Here is a 14842-nt window from a genome sequence, read left to right as displayed (position 1 = left end):
GAGAATTCCCTGGAAATCACATAGCTCTGGAGTCTTTCTATGGAGTATGACATGATCAGTATCCTCTCAGGATAGTATATGATCACATCCTATTCCGCAGAAAGGTCTTTGAGCACAACGGCATTCCCACTGGAGTCCCATCAAGGGAGCCTTGGTTCCTGAGAACCTAGATGAGTTGTACCTAAAGTGTGGTTCCCAGTCCCACAGCCTCAGCATCACCTGGGAATGTGTTAGAAATGCAGATTCTGAGGCCCACCACGACCAACTGAATTAGGAACTCTGGAGTGGGCCCCAGCAACTGTGTTTTCTTATGCCCTTCAGGGGATTTTGTGGGTGCCACTCCCGGCCTTGGACCCACTCCAGGCATCTCCATGGTTACAGAGGCAGGGAATTGGGGGCTGGCAGGGAGTGGGGAAGGCTGAGGTGGGTAGAGGAGTGAAACTCTCCCACAGTGCCTTTCACTCAGATTGGGGGTAGAGGAAAAATCCCCACGGGGTGATTGTGTCTTTCCCCTGCACCCCACTTGTTGCTGTCCCGACAGGTTTTTCCATCTCAGCCCTTCCCCTAAAATTCGAGCCCCCTGAGGAGGAACGATAGAGCTATCCCGTCTCTCCATGGATAGGATCATGCCGCTGCTTTGATGGATAAAGTGAGAGCGAGGTGCTGTGGAGGCTGGCAGGCTTTGGGGTGTTCTGTGTTGCCAAGGCAGCGCCTCGCTCGAGCCGAGGAAGGGCCTCTGAAGGGGAAAGGGAAGCAGCTCCGCCACCCCAAGGATGCGTGCCGCTGCGCTCTTGACAGGCAGAAGACAGGGAAGTGAATGTTTTAGTATTTTATAAATCATTTGGAGGAAATTATGTTTTATTTATGTTCATTTTTGAATGTATTTGAATTTTTATTACAGATATTTTTCAAAGATGCAAGCATTACAGGCAATCCTGGGGGGACAGGCACCTCAAAAGGATATGGCAGGGGCCAGCCTGATTGGCTGAGGGGGCAGACGTTATTCAAATTTTAAAGAGGAGTCTGAAGCTGGCTTTCAAAGGGACAAAATCTGAATGAAACTCAAAAGTTTTAAATCGTGACTATGAAGTACTTGGATTTGAAAGGAAGGTTAATATAAGGGAATCACAGTGCTGCCTGAGTGAAGTGGAGAGGAATCTGGACTGAGAAAGAAGGAGGAATTTGGGATGAATCTTAATGAAATGGGTTCATTCATTGTGTGGGCAAGGTCCCCGGCTACTTCTTCAAAATTCCCCTTCTCTGGTATAATTGAGCTTGCAATTATATATCCGCAAAAACAATAATGTAAGATGGTCCCTGGAATGCAGCTCAGGGGCACCAACTCTTTCACCTGCCTTCATTACCAGTGCACATCATGAAAGCTACTTCCCCAGGGGGATTGATTGTGTGGCTACAGGCACCAATCAATGAAATGGGCCAGAATGATTGTACTGTGTTACCATGAGGTTCATTTCCAGCAGAGATATGACCAGTGTCTCCCTACTGCTTGAACGGCAAAGGACTTTGATGCTGTTGAAACCAAAGTGAAAATGGACACACAGACATTTTTCTTGTGATTTTGCTTCTACAAACAGATATTTGCTCAGTTTTTGCAAGAATGTTGAATTTATGGACATAAATGTTCATGAAAGTATGAAGTTAGTCATGGTATGTTAAAAGTATGTTCTCAATACATGAGGAATGGCAAATGGAGATAAGGTGCATTTCTTCTCCAATGTACCACTGAAACAGGACATAGGAAAACATTTCAGGGTAGAAAGATGCGTGCCAGTGCTGGGTGCTGGTACATTTCTTATACTGAATTTCATAGTTCTCCTTATCATGTGATAGTATGTGATAATGTTAAAAAGATTAGTCCAGAAAGTAAATAATGCCTTTAGGATGGAAAAACAAGAGTCAAATAAAACACTTTTGTTGGAGAAAACTATAAATTAAAAGGTTTTAAAAGGCATTTTGAATAACAATATTAGCTGCCATTTATTTATGACTAAGATGTAATACCATTCCCAGAACTTGGTGTTTATGCACCAGTTAATTCAACCCATATTTTTGAGTTATTAAAGTGTGCCAGGCACTGGTGTGGGCCATTAAGGTTAACAAGCCGGACCTGTATATCCATTCACACAACTTGTCAAAGTGCGTGCCTGCTAGCTGTACTTCACAGCTGCAGAGTTGAAAGCTCACAGCCATCGTGTCAGAGGTTCTCAACTCTGCTCTAGTGGTAGAATCATGGGTTGGGGATGGGGGCAGTTCTGCTTTGGAAAAATGCTGATGTCCAGGCCCTACCTGAGACTGATTAAATCAGAATCACTAAATATGGGGCTAGGAATCAGTATATTCTTTTGAAGTTCCCTCAGGGCTTCTGATGTGCATCTGGGGTTAATAGGAACACACTGCAAGGTTGCATGGGTCTGCTTAGGGATGGAACCTAAGCCATGAAGTCAGGTGGATGCAGCACATTAAGAATGAGTAAACTCAGCCTCTGTGCTATGTGGTGTCGCATTTTCGAAAGCTGGTTGTTATCAGCAGGAATATGCTCCCAGGGGCTCATTGTTTCTCGGCACAATCTCTGCTTTAGGCCCCTCTGTTTCTTGAAAAGTCTTGTCAAGGTTCCCAGTCTGAAGACAAATATGTGGTCCTCTGAAGGCTTTTCACTTAATAGACTACTACCCACCATGTAGCCCGTGTGCTTTGTAATTTCACTTAAAATGTTTGTTATATTTATTATAGTAATAGGAGTGGCAGAGATAGTGTGGAGATAGATAGAAGGCGCCGCTGAAGCCTCCTTTGGTCCTCTTGGAGGATAGCAGGTTATCGCTTTGTTTTCAAATAATGCAGTTGGTAATAAGTTTTTGGATATATGTGAGCTGTAAATCGTTCTGAAAATTGAACTGAAGATACAATATCATAAATCTCTTCCTTGGTGGTAGAATATTTATGGGGAGAGCAATATAATCAGTTATGTGGCTGTGCTATGTCTGACATCTGACTGAAGGGGACCCTGTACCAAGGATCTATCGCTTATTAGAAAACTCCTGTGGGTGAGCATGTGTGTGTGTGTGTGTGAGTGTGTGTGTGTGTGTGTGTAGGTTGGAAGACTCTTTTAAATGGGGATAATCAGATATTTCCTTATTAAAATTAATCGGGAATGCATTAGTGGAGCAGGTAGGGATGCTGGGGTAGCATGGTGCTGGTAGGGCAAGGAGACGCAGGACGCTTTACCCTCCTGGGCAGCCTCCTCCTCGACCGGGTGGTGTATAATTTGGTTCCCAAAATCAATGCTTGTTTGTTCTGGGAACTCAGAATCCTAAGAAAATGCACGTTTCATTAGACTTGTTTTGAAACTCATGATCATCACTGTAAATACCTCTGTGTGGAAAGCAATGAAATAAAACCAAAAGAAGTAGTGAAGTCATGGCAAGCTGTGAGAAGTGAACATGCAGGCAGCAGTAGACAATATTGTCAAGATTTTTCTTTTGGATCATGACAATTATTTAAAAGGAAAAATTCTTCAATCACTACTTAATGGCTTTCAAACTTTTTTCCTTTGGTTTGTAGGGAAACAATTTTTTTAAAAACAAAATCTGACTTGCGGCCCCATTGTATAAAACAGATCAAAGGTTGAAGTTGGGGAAGTGACTCAAGTCTTTGTCTACTTAGCCTCTCATATCATCTCTCTCCAACACCCCAGATGCACCCCACCACCCTAGGGTGTGCTGGTGATAGTTCTATAACTGTTGACCTAGTCCAGCTCTCCTCTTTCAGAGATGAGGAAACTATGTCCAGAAAATGTCAACTTTCAAAGAGAAGACAGGGACAAGGATTCTTAAATCCATTCTTGTGCTGCTCCTACTGACATAGAAGAATGTGTGGCTGCTTTTGGGTGAGATAACTAATTTGTTAAGGTAGTGTGATTGGTCTTACCTCCTTAAAGTCTTTTCTTAAACTTAACTTTCCTTCTTTCCCTCCTTCCTTCCTTCCTTCCCTCCTTCCTTCCTTCCCTCCTTCCTTCTTTCCTTCCCTCCCTCCTTCCTTCCTTCCTTTCTTCCTTCCTTCCTTCCTTCCTTCCTTCCTTCCTTCCTTCCTTCCTTCCTTCCTTCCTCCCTTCCTCTATTTCTTTCCTCCCTCCCTCCCTCCCTCTCCCTTTCTTTCCTTTTTTTTCCAGAGCTTCACTCTTGTCACCCAGGCTGGAGTGCAATGGTGTAATCTTGGCTCACTGCAACCTCCGCCTCCTGGGTTCAAGTGATTCTCCTGCCTCAGCCTCCCAAGTAGCTGGGATTACAGGCATGCACCACCATGCCTGGCTAATTTTGTATTTTTAGTAAAGACGGGATTTCTCCATGTTGGTCAGGCTGGTCTCAAACTCCTGACCTCAGGTGACCTGCCCACCTCACCTTGGCCTCCCAAAGTGCTGAGATTACAGGTGTGAGCCACTGCGCCTGGCTTTTTTTTTTGAGAGAGGGTCTCTCTCTGTTGCCCAGGCTGGAGTGCAGTGGCACAATCATGACTCACTGCAACCTCCACCTCCTGGGCTTCAAGTGATCCACCTCAGCCTCTGAGTGGCTGGGAGTACAGGTGTGTGTGCCACCACACCCGGCTAATTTTTTGTAGAGATGGAATTTTTCCCTGTTGTTCAGGCTGGTCTTGAACTCCTGGACTCAAGCAATCTACCCACCTTGGCCTCCCAAAGTGCTGGGATTACAGTCATGAGCCACCATGCATGGCCAAACTTCACATTCTTATTAATAATAAATTTTACTCTGATTACCTCATTTAAAATTACAACCCTCCCCATGGTCCTCTATACTTCCTAAAATGTTCTATATATTTTTTCAGAGTACTTGTCACCTCTTTACATATGATACCATTTATATTATTTATTTTTGTTTGTTGTCTGAACCTTCACCCCCTCACCCCAACTACAATCTAAGCTTCATGAGAGCAAGGAATTTTTTAAAAAATCTCTTTTGTCCACTGATGTATCCCTAGTATCTAGAACAGTGTCTGACACATAGTAGATGCTCAGTACATATTTGCTGAATACATAAATGTTATGAGCAATGATTATAGGCTAATGAGATGGTCTTCATAAGTTATCCATGACCACCTCACTCATACTATGTATTAGGCTTTACAGGGACACAGAAAAGTCTCCACAAATCTAATTAGCTCAACCATAGTCTCCCTTCAAGAGGAAAGTAATGGCCTTCTGAATCAACACTCCTCTAGGAAAGCCCTGTAAATTTTGCCTTCAGTAGCCTCTGCCTATTGGGAAGATGAAAACAGGCATAACAGGACTAGGCCAGGGGTACTTAATTCAAGGAGTGCGTGAACTTGGAGGAGACAAAAACCCTACATCTTTATTTTCATTAACTTCTAGCTGAAATTTAGCATTTTCTTCAACTATAAATATAGGCAACAAACCCCAAGAAACTTTGTTTGGCCATAAAAACCATGGATTTTTTTCCATATTACATTATTGGTTTAGCAGATGTATAAAAATAGCATTTTCACTTATTTCCACTTCAAATTTATGGTCATTACTATACCTGTGTCTAGATTTTATTATTTAATGCAAAAATAAAGAATCACATATATTGCTTCCCATTGGGTTTGGCCAACAGGACAAGATCAGAGGACATGAGAGAGAGGTCAGGGTCTTGATTCCCCTGGCTCCCCTCCTGTGTGGCTGGAGGTCAGCAGAGACTGTACTCGTTGCTGAAGGCCATTGCTCCTGTCAGGAGCTCTCTCCACAGCTCTTTTGGGCCCCTGTGAGTCTGAGGCTGTGATATGGTTTGGCTATGTCCCCACCCTAATCTCACTTTGAACTGTAGTTCCCATAATCCCCACATGTTGTGGGAGGAAGCTGGTGGGAGGTAATTGAATCATGGGGACTATTACCCCCATGCTGCTGTTCTCATGATAGTGAGTGAGTTCTCATGAGATCTGATGGTTTTATAAAGGGCTTTTCCCTCTTTGCTAGACACTTCTCCTTCCTGCCATCACGTGAAGAACATGTTTGCTTCCCCTTCCACCATGATTGTAAGTTTCCTGAGGCCTCCCAGCCATGCAGAACTGTGAGTCAGTTAAACCTCTGTCCTTTGTAAAATACCCAGAATACTGCAGTTCTTTATAGCAGCATGAAAATGGACTAAGATGGGTGGTAATAGTTCTCTGTTCTTGCTGACTCTGTGATCCTTCACCATTTTTGTTTGTTTCTCTTAATCTGCCCCCATAACTTTTTAAGTAGCTATTTCATGAAATGCTCTTTAATCATCCCCTTTGAATGTGCTCTGTTTCCTGCCAAGATCCTGACTGATACACTCCCAAACTAGATCTAATTCCTCTCTTCTTTAAATTCCCCCCTTCTTTGGGCACTTCCTGTAGTGTTGGGCTTCCCTATTAGACAAAAGACATCTCTTGAGCACTTATCATCTATCAATCAGTCACTATTCTGGAGGCTAGGGAATACAGTGATGGACAAGACAGATGACGTCTTTGTTACCTTGAACTAGAATAATAAAATGAGCATTAGTAAGTGCTTACCATGTGCCAGGTGCTTTAAAAAGTCCTTTACATGTAGGAAGTCATTTAATCCACACAAGAACTTTGCGGTATATTTGTCAAATAAGGAAAAAGAACCACGGAGAGAGTAAGTAATTTGCTGGAGGTCATACCGCCAAGAAGCAGCAGAGCTGTAATTCTAACCCAGGAGGCCTGACTCCAAATCTCATGCTCTTAACCACATCACTATGTTGTCTCTTACTAGCTTAGCATCCTTTTCAATAACCAGCACATTGCCAATGCTCAGCAAATATTTGTTGCACTGATTTGAGTAAATAGTCCCTTTAGGAAAGGAAGATAGCAATGGGATTATGCTTTTGGTAGTTTCAGCAAAATTTTGATTTCAGCAGCTTTTAAGAAGAGTTTGGTTTTCTTTTGTTTTATTTTCAAGTGTTTATCTGCAGTAGCAGGTGGTAAGAAAAAGATTCTCTTCCCCGTTTAGCTGAGTAAATATCTAGTCATGTGGCTGGATCTTCATCCCAACACAATTATGTGCTCTCATCCTGGGCAGGAGGCAGCCTTGTGACACAGCAATGCTCAGTGGGTAATAGTTGTAGCAAATGTTTAGTTACAACAGAATAGCACCCAACTCTTAATCATTAATAGGAACCCATGCAAGAGTTCACTGCAGCTGTGACTTCTTTTCCTGGTGATTCATTCTGTTTGAAATATAATGTACTCAAAAAGCAGCAAAAACTATAGCTAGAAATCACTGTAATGGTGTTCATGAAAGCTATTGCTAATTTAGGGTCCAATTAAAACTAGAAATCCAATTATTGCTGAATAACATAATTGCAAGAAAGTAACCTGAATTGCACATATGTCAGTAATTAAGGAGGAAGCTTTAATAACAGAATCTATTTGAACTATTTCAAGGAGGGGCCAAAGAGGCTGAGGATTGGCTCCAGGGTGGGTCAGTGCAAGGAATACCCCAGCGGTTGGGTGCTTACAGTAGGCTCCGAATTTTGTCAACATGGTTTGCTTTTACAGCCTAGCTCACGGGGTCCTGGCAAGATAAATGCAGAATTTAAGAGCAGGATAAAATTGATCTCTGAATCCACATCCTATGAAGCATCAAATACACCATGAGCCCTGAAAAATTAAATATTAGAAGGTATTATTTGTTAAACACTTGAGATGCTATAGAAAGCAGTTGGCAAAATAAATGTCAGATATTGTACCTTTACAGTTCAAACTCTGATTTTGACCTTGCTGTTAACTTTACTGCATTGATTCCATTACTTCCAGTGGAGTGGCTAGGCGGGTGAGAGTCTGGGTTTGGAGAGACAGAAACTGGGCCTATCCAGTGTGTCAACACTTGGACACAGGAAGGGGAACATCACACACCGGGGCCTGTTGTGGGGTGGGGGAGGGGGGAGGGAAAGCATTAGGAGGTATACCTAATGTAAATGACGAGTTACTGGGTGCAGCACACCAACATGGCACATGTATACATATGTCACAAACCTGCACGTTGTGCACATGTACCCTAGAACTTAAAGTATAATAATAATAATAATAAAAAGAAAGCAGCCTTGGGTTTTGGCAAGGTCTTGCTGCCCAGCAAACGATGTAGTCCTCTTTATTTGAGTGGTCTGCAGAGGTGGGTAGCAGCATCTCTTACAGAACCCCAGGCAGGTGATTCATTTACTGCAGAGGCAATCAGGTAATGTGAACTCTTACTGAAATATAGTAGGGCTGCAGTTCTTAGAATGCGTGCGTCAGAGTCTCCTAGAGGGCTTGTTACATACATACAGATGCTGGGCCTGACCACCTCAGAGTTTCTGAGTCAGTAGGTCTGGATTAGGGTTAGGGTCTGAGATCTGCATTTTTAATAGGTTCCCAGGTGATGCTGATGATGCTTGCTGGTTTTGGGACTACATATTTTTGAGAACCACTGTGGTAGGGTAGATGTCAGCTGGGTCCAGTGAGGAGGAGCTGGAGTTAGGAGTGTGAAAAGTTTGTTGGAGAGTAAAACCTGTGTGAAGGGGAAGGTCGGAATCAGAAGCCGGGCCGGGCATGGTGGTTTATGGCTGTAATCCCAGCATTTTGAGAGGCTGAGGCAGGAGGATCACTTGAGCCCAGGAGTTCTAGACCAGCCTGGGCAACATGGTGAAACCCTCTCTCTACTAAAAATACAAAAATTAGCCAGACTTGATAGTGCATCCCTGTAGTTCCAGCTACCTGGGAGGCTGAGGCCAGAGGGTCATGGAGGGCAGCTGATTTGGGAGGGGCAAATTAGCTGGCAAAGGTTAGGAAAGGGGTCAGAGGCTTTGCTAATCAGATTGGGGTTTAGAGTATGGCTCCAGCCCCACTGAGCATCAGGTATATGAAACAGATAAGCAACTGTGTACCGCTTAAAAGTAGTAGTGATAATGGGCACCATTTCTTGAGGTCCTACTATGTGCCAGATGGTTTACTTAATTTTAATTTTTGAAGTAGATCTGTGAGGAAGGTGATATCATTCCATTTTACTGAGAAAGAAGCAAGAGCTCTGAGAATTTACATGTATGTTATCCTGTTGCAACTTCAACTCTGTCTGATCCCAAAGCTTGAGTCCACCCAGGAATGAGCGAAGGTGATGTAGGGAGGGGCTGTGGCTCAGGTAACTGTGAGCAGCAAGATGTTTTCAGAAGGATCTGGCGAGGCAGAGACTTCTAACATCTTATGTGTTCCTGTCAGGATTGGCTCAGGACCTCCACAGAGGTGAGTTTTCTGGTAAAGCCCTTACTCGATAACTCTGCTGAGTGTGTGGAGAAATAGGAGCCAAGAGTCACAGCCATTGCCTTATAAATCACAATCCCCAAATGGTAGGCAAACATTTAGTCTTAATCGTAAAGAGGGAAGGTACTTGTATGAGTTTCTCATGGCTGCCATAACAAATTACAGAAAACTGGGTGGCCTGAAACAACAGCAATGTATTCTCTTAAAGTGCTGGAGGACAGAAGTCTTGGATCAAGGTGTTGGCAGGACCATACTTCCTCTGGGGGCTGTAAGGGAGAATCCATTTTTGCCTTTTCAGCTTCCAGTGGCCCCAGGCATTCACTGGCTTCCTTGATGTAAGGCCGCATCACTCCAGCCTCTGCCTCCATCTTCATGTTACCTCTCCTCTATGTGTTTTCTCCTTCTTTGTCTCTTATTAGGACACTAGTCGTTGGGTTTAGGATCCACCTGGGTAATCTAGTTAGATCTTCTCTCAAGATTCTTAATTACATCTTCACTCTTTTTCCGAATAAGGTCACATTCACAGATTCTAGGGGTTTGGATGTCTTTTTGAAGGTCATTATCCAATCTACTACAATCCTCAAATAAATGTTTCCGAGGAAATCAAGGGTAAAAGTTGTTAGAATGTTTACACAAAATAACTTTTGTTTGTGAATGGATGAGATATTTTCTAAAAAGTCATAATTGAGTAGTTTTCTATGGACTCTGAAACCCAGATTTTACAAATAATATTTCTGGTGGGTACTTTCAAAGACGGTCACCAATACTTCCTCCCAACAATTTCTCCCTATCCTTGTGGAAGGATGTCCGCATCCAAAGATATGCTCTATTTTCCTCTCTTTGCACCTGGCCTGACCTTGTGACTTGCTTGGACCAACAGAATGCAGTGAAGGTGACCTTCTGGATTTCTGAGCCTGGGCCTGGCAACTTCTGCTTCACTTCTTGGGAGCCAGCTGCTATGTAAAGAAGACTGAGCAAGACAGCTGAAAGATATGTAGAGAGAGAAGCCAAGACAGTGCCCAGCTATCCCAGTCACACCCACAGACTCACCACATGTATGAGTGAAGCCATCTTGGACTTTCCAGCTGAGCTCCCAGCTAAAGGCAGCTGCAAGGGTGATCCCAGCTGATGCCATGTGAAACAGAAGAACCATCCACCTGAGCCCAGCCAAGGTACCGAATTGAGAAAAATAACAAATTGTTGTTTCAAGTTAGTAACTTCTGAGGCAGTTTGTTGTGTCACAATAGGTACATAAAACAATGCTGTAAATTATGTCATTCAAAAAGTTTAACATGGGCTAAAGGAAATGACACCGTAGAAGCAAAAAAGTGTTTGATAGTGGGAATGAAAGTCTTTAGTGGTTTGCCTTGGACATTGTTCAGGATCTCAAAAGAAAGTATGCAGAGGACACAGAGAACATGAAGCTATGTAGGAGGAAGTGTCTCTCGTCCCTGGTTTTTTTTGGAAGTACAGCCTTAGGGGAAAAATACTATAGACACCATGACTTGGAGTTCTGGTTTTATAATGATAATATTGTGCAAACCTGGAAAAGTCATGCATTGTCTCTGAGCCCCAGTACAGAAACATTTGTGTGGCTGATAATAACCATTACTAATTATGAGGCCCCTGAGGAATGCCAGTTCTGCATATGACTATTTTCATAGCAATCCTAATGAGAGTATTATCCTTATTTTCAGACAAGGAAGCACTGGCTCAGAGAGGATTATAGCTTGCCCCAGATCACACAGAGATGGGGAGAGAAGGGTGGATACAGGTATTCAAACCCCAGGCAATTAACTCCAACATTGTGCTTTTTCTACTGTGCTGTACCCATGGGCTTTCTTCTCCCCTTTTGGCTGGAGGCAGGTAACAGCCAGCCATTTGAGCAGGTCATATGGTCAGTCACCATTCACTGGAGCACATGGGCAGGGGTTCACAGGCATCTGTAAAATCACCCCAGAATGTCTTCTTACTTTAGAGCTTATCCATACATGTCTTTCTCCTCTAGCTGGTTTTTCAGCATCATTTCTGCTTCTCCCTCTCCCATCCCTCTGATGTGTTTGGTTTGAGTTCATAGGTGGGAGTGATGAGGTGGAGGGAGACCTGTGAACAGGGCTAAGAAAGTAGAAACACAAGTTACTGAACAGCTTTGGAGCTAACTGCTAGAGATTTTTATTCTTTGCAATGTTTCTTTTATCTATCACCCCCTTGAGCATTCTGTCTTTACCCTGGTTTGGCCTGGCACCATCTTTAGCAAGGAGCTCCTTATCTGGCTACCCCTCAGTCTCTCCATCATCCTGTTTATCCTTCCCACAGCCACCAGAGTTGTCTTCCTACGCACAAGTTCGACAATGTCATTTGCTTGTTCAGAAAATTTTCATGGCTTTTCATTGCCTATGGAATAAAGAAAAAAATTTTAAAAATGTAGGATGTGAATAACATGTATTTATGGCTCATAGTAAGTATATTTACTAGCTGAAATAAACAGAATGTACAAAAAACAGCATCCATTTTGTTCTATTCTGTTTGGCTCTGCAGTATCTGAAGCTACATATGCCAGAGTCCCCCTGCTTGGGATGGAGGAGAGCTGTTTTACTCCCAACACAGTCCAGACAAGGCTAACCATGTGAGTTTGTTTATGCTAGCTTAAGTCCCCCTGTGAGATGCCGACCCTAGCTTGTGGAGAATCCTATGAAGCATTTCATTTTTTTTTTTTTTGGAAAGAAAGTATTAATGAAATACTTGTTTTGTGCATTATTGTTATTGTCATTATGATTATATCCACTCTTGACTAAAAGAGAGTACAAGAAACTATTGCTCACTTGCCTTCTATGTGGGGGGAATGGGCAATCCCTGCCTTTTTCCTATCTCTCTTTGACTTTGCTATACACATTCACATTTAATTTTGAGTAACACTGGGTTTGATCTAGAATTCACTTCTAACAAATGATGGAAGTCTTTTGGTAAAGACTCCGTTCAGGAAGTTTTTAAAAAATATTTATTTATTTATATTGTACTTTAAGTCCTGGGGTACATGTGCAGAATGTGCAGGTTTGTTACATAGGTATACATGTGCTATGGTGGTTTGCTGCACCCATCAACCCATCATCTACATTAGGTATTTCTTCTAATGCTATCCCTCTCCTAGGCCCCCACCCTCCAACAGGCTCCATGTGTGATGTTCCCTTCCCTGTGTCCATGTGTTCTCACTGTTCAACTTCCACTTATAAGTGAGAATATGTGGTGTTTGGTTTTCTGTTCTTGTGTTAGTCTGCTGAGAATGATGGTTTCCAGCTTCATCCATGTCCCTACAAAGGACATGAACTCATCCTTTTTTATGCCTGCATAGTATTCCATGGTGTATACGTGCCACATTTTCTTTATCCAGTCTATCATTGATGGGCATTTGGGTTGGTTCCAAGTCTTTGCTATTGTGAATAGTGCCGGAATAAACATGCATGTGCATATGTCTTTATAGTAGAATGATTTATAATCCTTTGGGTATATACCCAGTAATGGGATTGCTGAGTCAAATGGTATTTCTGGTTCTAGATCCTTGAGGAATCGCCACACTGTCTTCCACAATGGTTGAACTAATTTACACTCCTTCCAACAATGTAAAAGTGTTCCTATTTCTCCACATCCTCTCCAGCATCTGTTGTTTCCTGACTTTTTAATGATCACCATTCTAACTGGTGTGAGATGGTATCTCATTGTGGTTTTGATTTGCATTTCTCTAATGACCAGTGATGATGAGCTTTTTTTCATATGTTTGTTTGGCTGCATAAATGTCTTCTTTTGAGAAGTGTCTGTTCATATCCTTTGCCCACTTTTTGATGGGGTTGTTTGTTTTTTTCTTGTAAATTTGTTTAAGTTCTTTGTATATTCTGGATATTAGCCCTTTGTCAGATGGATAGACTGCAAGATTTCTCTCCCATTCTGTAGGTTGCCTGTTCACTCTGATGATAGTTTCTTTTGCTGTGCAGAAGCTCTTTAGTTTAATTAGATCTCTCATTTGTTAATTTTGACTTTTGTTGCCATTGCTTTTGGTGTTTTAGTCATGAAGTGTTTGCCCATGCCTTTGTCCTGAATGGTATTGCCTAGGTTTTCTTCTAGGGTTTTTATGGTTTTAGGTCTTACATTTAAATCTTTAATCCATCTTGAGTTGATTTTTGTATAAGGTGTAAGGAAGGGGTCCAGTTTCAGTTTTCTGCATATGGCTAGCCAGTTTTCCCAGCACCATTTATTAAATAGGAAATCCTTTCCCCATTGCTTGTTTTTTGTCAGGCTTGTCAAAAATCAGATGGTTGTAGTTGTTTGGCGTTATTTCTGAGGCCTCTGTTCTGTTCCGTTGGTCTATATATATATCTGTTTTGGTACCAGTACAATGCTGTTTTCGTTACTGTAGCCTTATAGTATAGTTTGAAGTCAGGTAGCGTGATGCCTCCAGCTTTTTTCCTTTTTGCTTAGGATTGTCTTGGCTATGTGGGCTCTCTTTTTGGTTCCATATGAAATTTACAGTAGTTTTTTCTAATTCTGTGAAGAATGTCAATGGTAGTTTGATGGGGATAGCATTGAATCTATGAAGTATTTTGGGCAGTATGGCCATTTTCATGATATTGAATAAGCTGGTTGTTCTTCAAACAAATGAATACATAAGGGGTATGTTAACCAGAGATGTCCTTGTTCAAACCTTCTCTGGAGCAGGGATGCCCATGTGGATTTTAGTGGGCTTTCATGCTGGGTAAAAGCCCCTCCAGTGAGCAGAGAGAAAATGATCGTCACTAATATCCAAAGATTAACTCTAGGCTGGTGTTGCCACAAAAATATACCAACAATGCTAGTAATTTTTGTTTTGAGACAGGATCTCACTCTGTTGCCCAGTGGGGAATACAGTGGCGTGATCGTAGCTCACTGCAGCCTTGAACTCCTGGGTTCAAGCAATCTTCCTGTCTCAGGTTCTCAGGTGGCTGGGATGACAGGCAACAAGTCACTTTGATTGTTTAATTTGCAAAGAGAAGCTGCCCTGAAAATCCCACTTCTCTGGTGTGTTTTGTTTTAGTTCATAGGTGGGAGTGATGGGGTGGAGGGAGACCTGTGTGCAGGGATAAGAAAGTAGAAATACAACCTGCTAAATAGCTTTGCATTCAAAAGCAATGGGTGCAAAAGGAACAGAATTTTGTGATGTCTTATCATCTATTCTAGGTTTCTCCAGACTTTTCAATACCAAGGACCTGTTTCTTAATTGACACTTCTCTCATGTACTCAGGCTTTAAAATACTTTGTCTACAAAATGTCTTTATTAAGCGAAAAATAATATTTATTTTATTAAATAACAACATGTGATTGTCAATCAGATGTCTGATGAATGTGAGTTGGTACAATTGCCGCCAAAAGCAGATAAACTTTTTGTTGTTGTTGTTGGCACTTGTGCAGATGTATCATTTGATTTTTGTTGGACTTTTAGAAACATAAAAATACCTAAGGGCCACCATTTTCACTTACCCAAATTTCTGTGAGTCCAAGAAACTTA

At 42.2% G+C, this 14842-nt stretch overlaps 1 long non-coding RNA gene across 1 annotated transcript in view; it reads left to right on the top strand.

The window, feature by feature from the left end:
* The window catches only part of LOC105378247 (uncharacterized), a 39168-nt gene extending 27233 nt beyond the window's left edge, over nucleotides 1-11935 (top strand). Inside the window, exons 3-4 of the long non-coding RNA XR_944875.4 lie at nucleotides 10190-10481; nucleotides 11848-11935. This is a non-coding gene — a long non-coding RNA (uncharacterized LOC105378247). The remainder of the gene's footprint in view (nucleotides 1-10189; nucleotides 10482-11847) is intronic.
* The last annotated feature ends 2907 nt before the right edge of the window (nucleotides 11936-14842 follow it).

The sequence above is a fragment of the Homo sapiens genome, chromosome 12 (assembly GCF_000001405.40).
Source record: "Homo sapiens chromosome 12, GRCh38.p14 Primary Assembly".
NCBI lineage: Eukaryota > Metazoa > Chordata > Mammalia > Primates > Hominidae > Homo > Homo sapiens.
The sequence above is the reverse complement of the archived record's forward strand: the minus strand, read 5'-3'. Positions and strand labels throughout refer to the sequence as shown.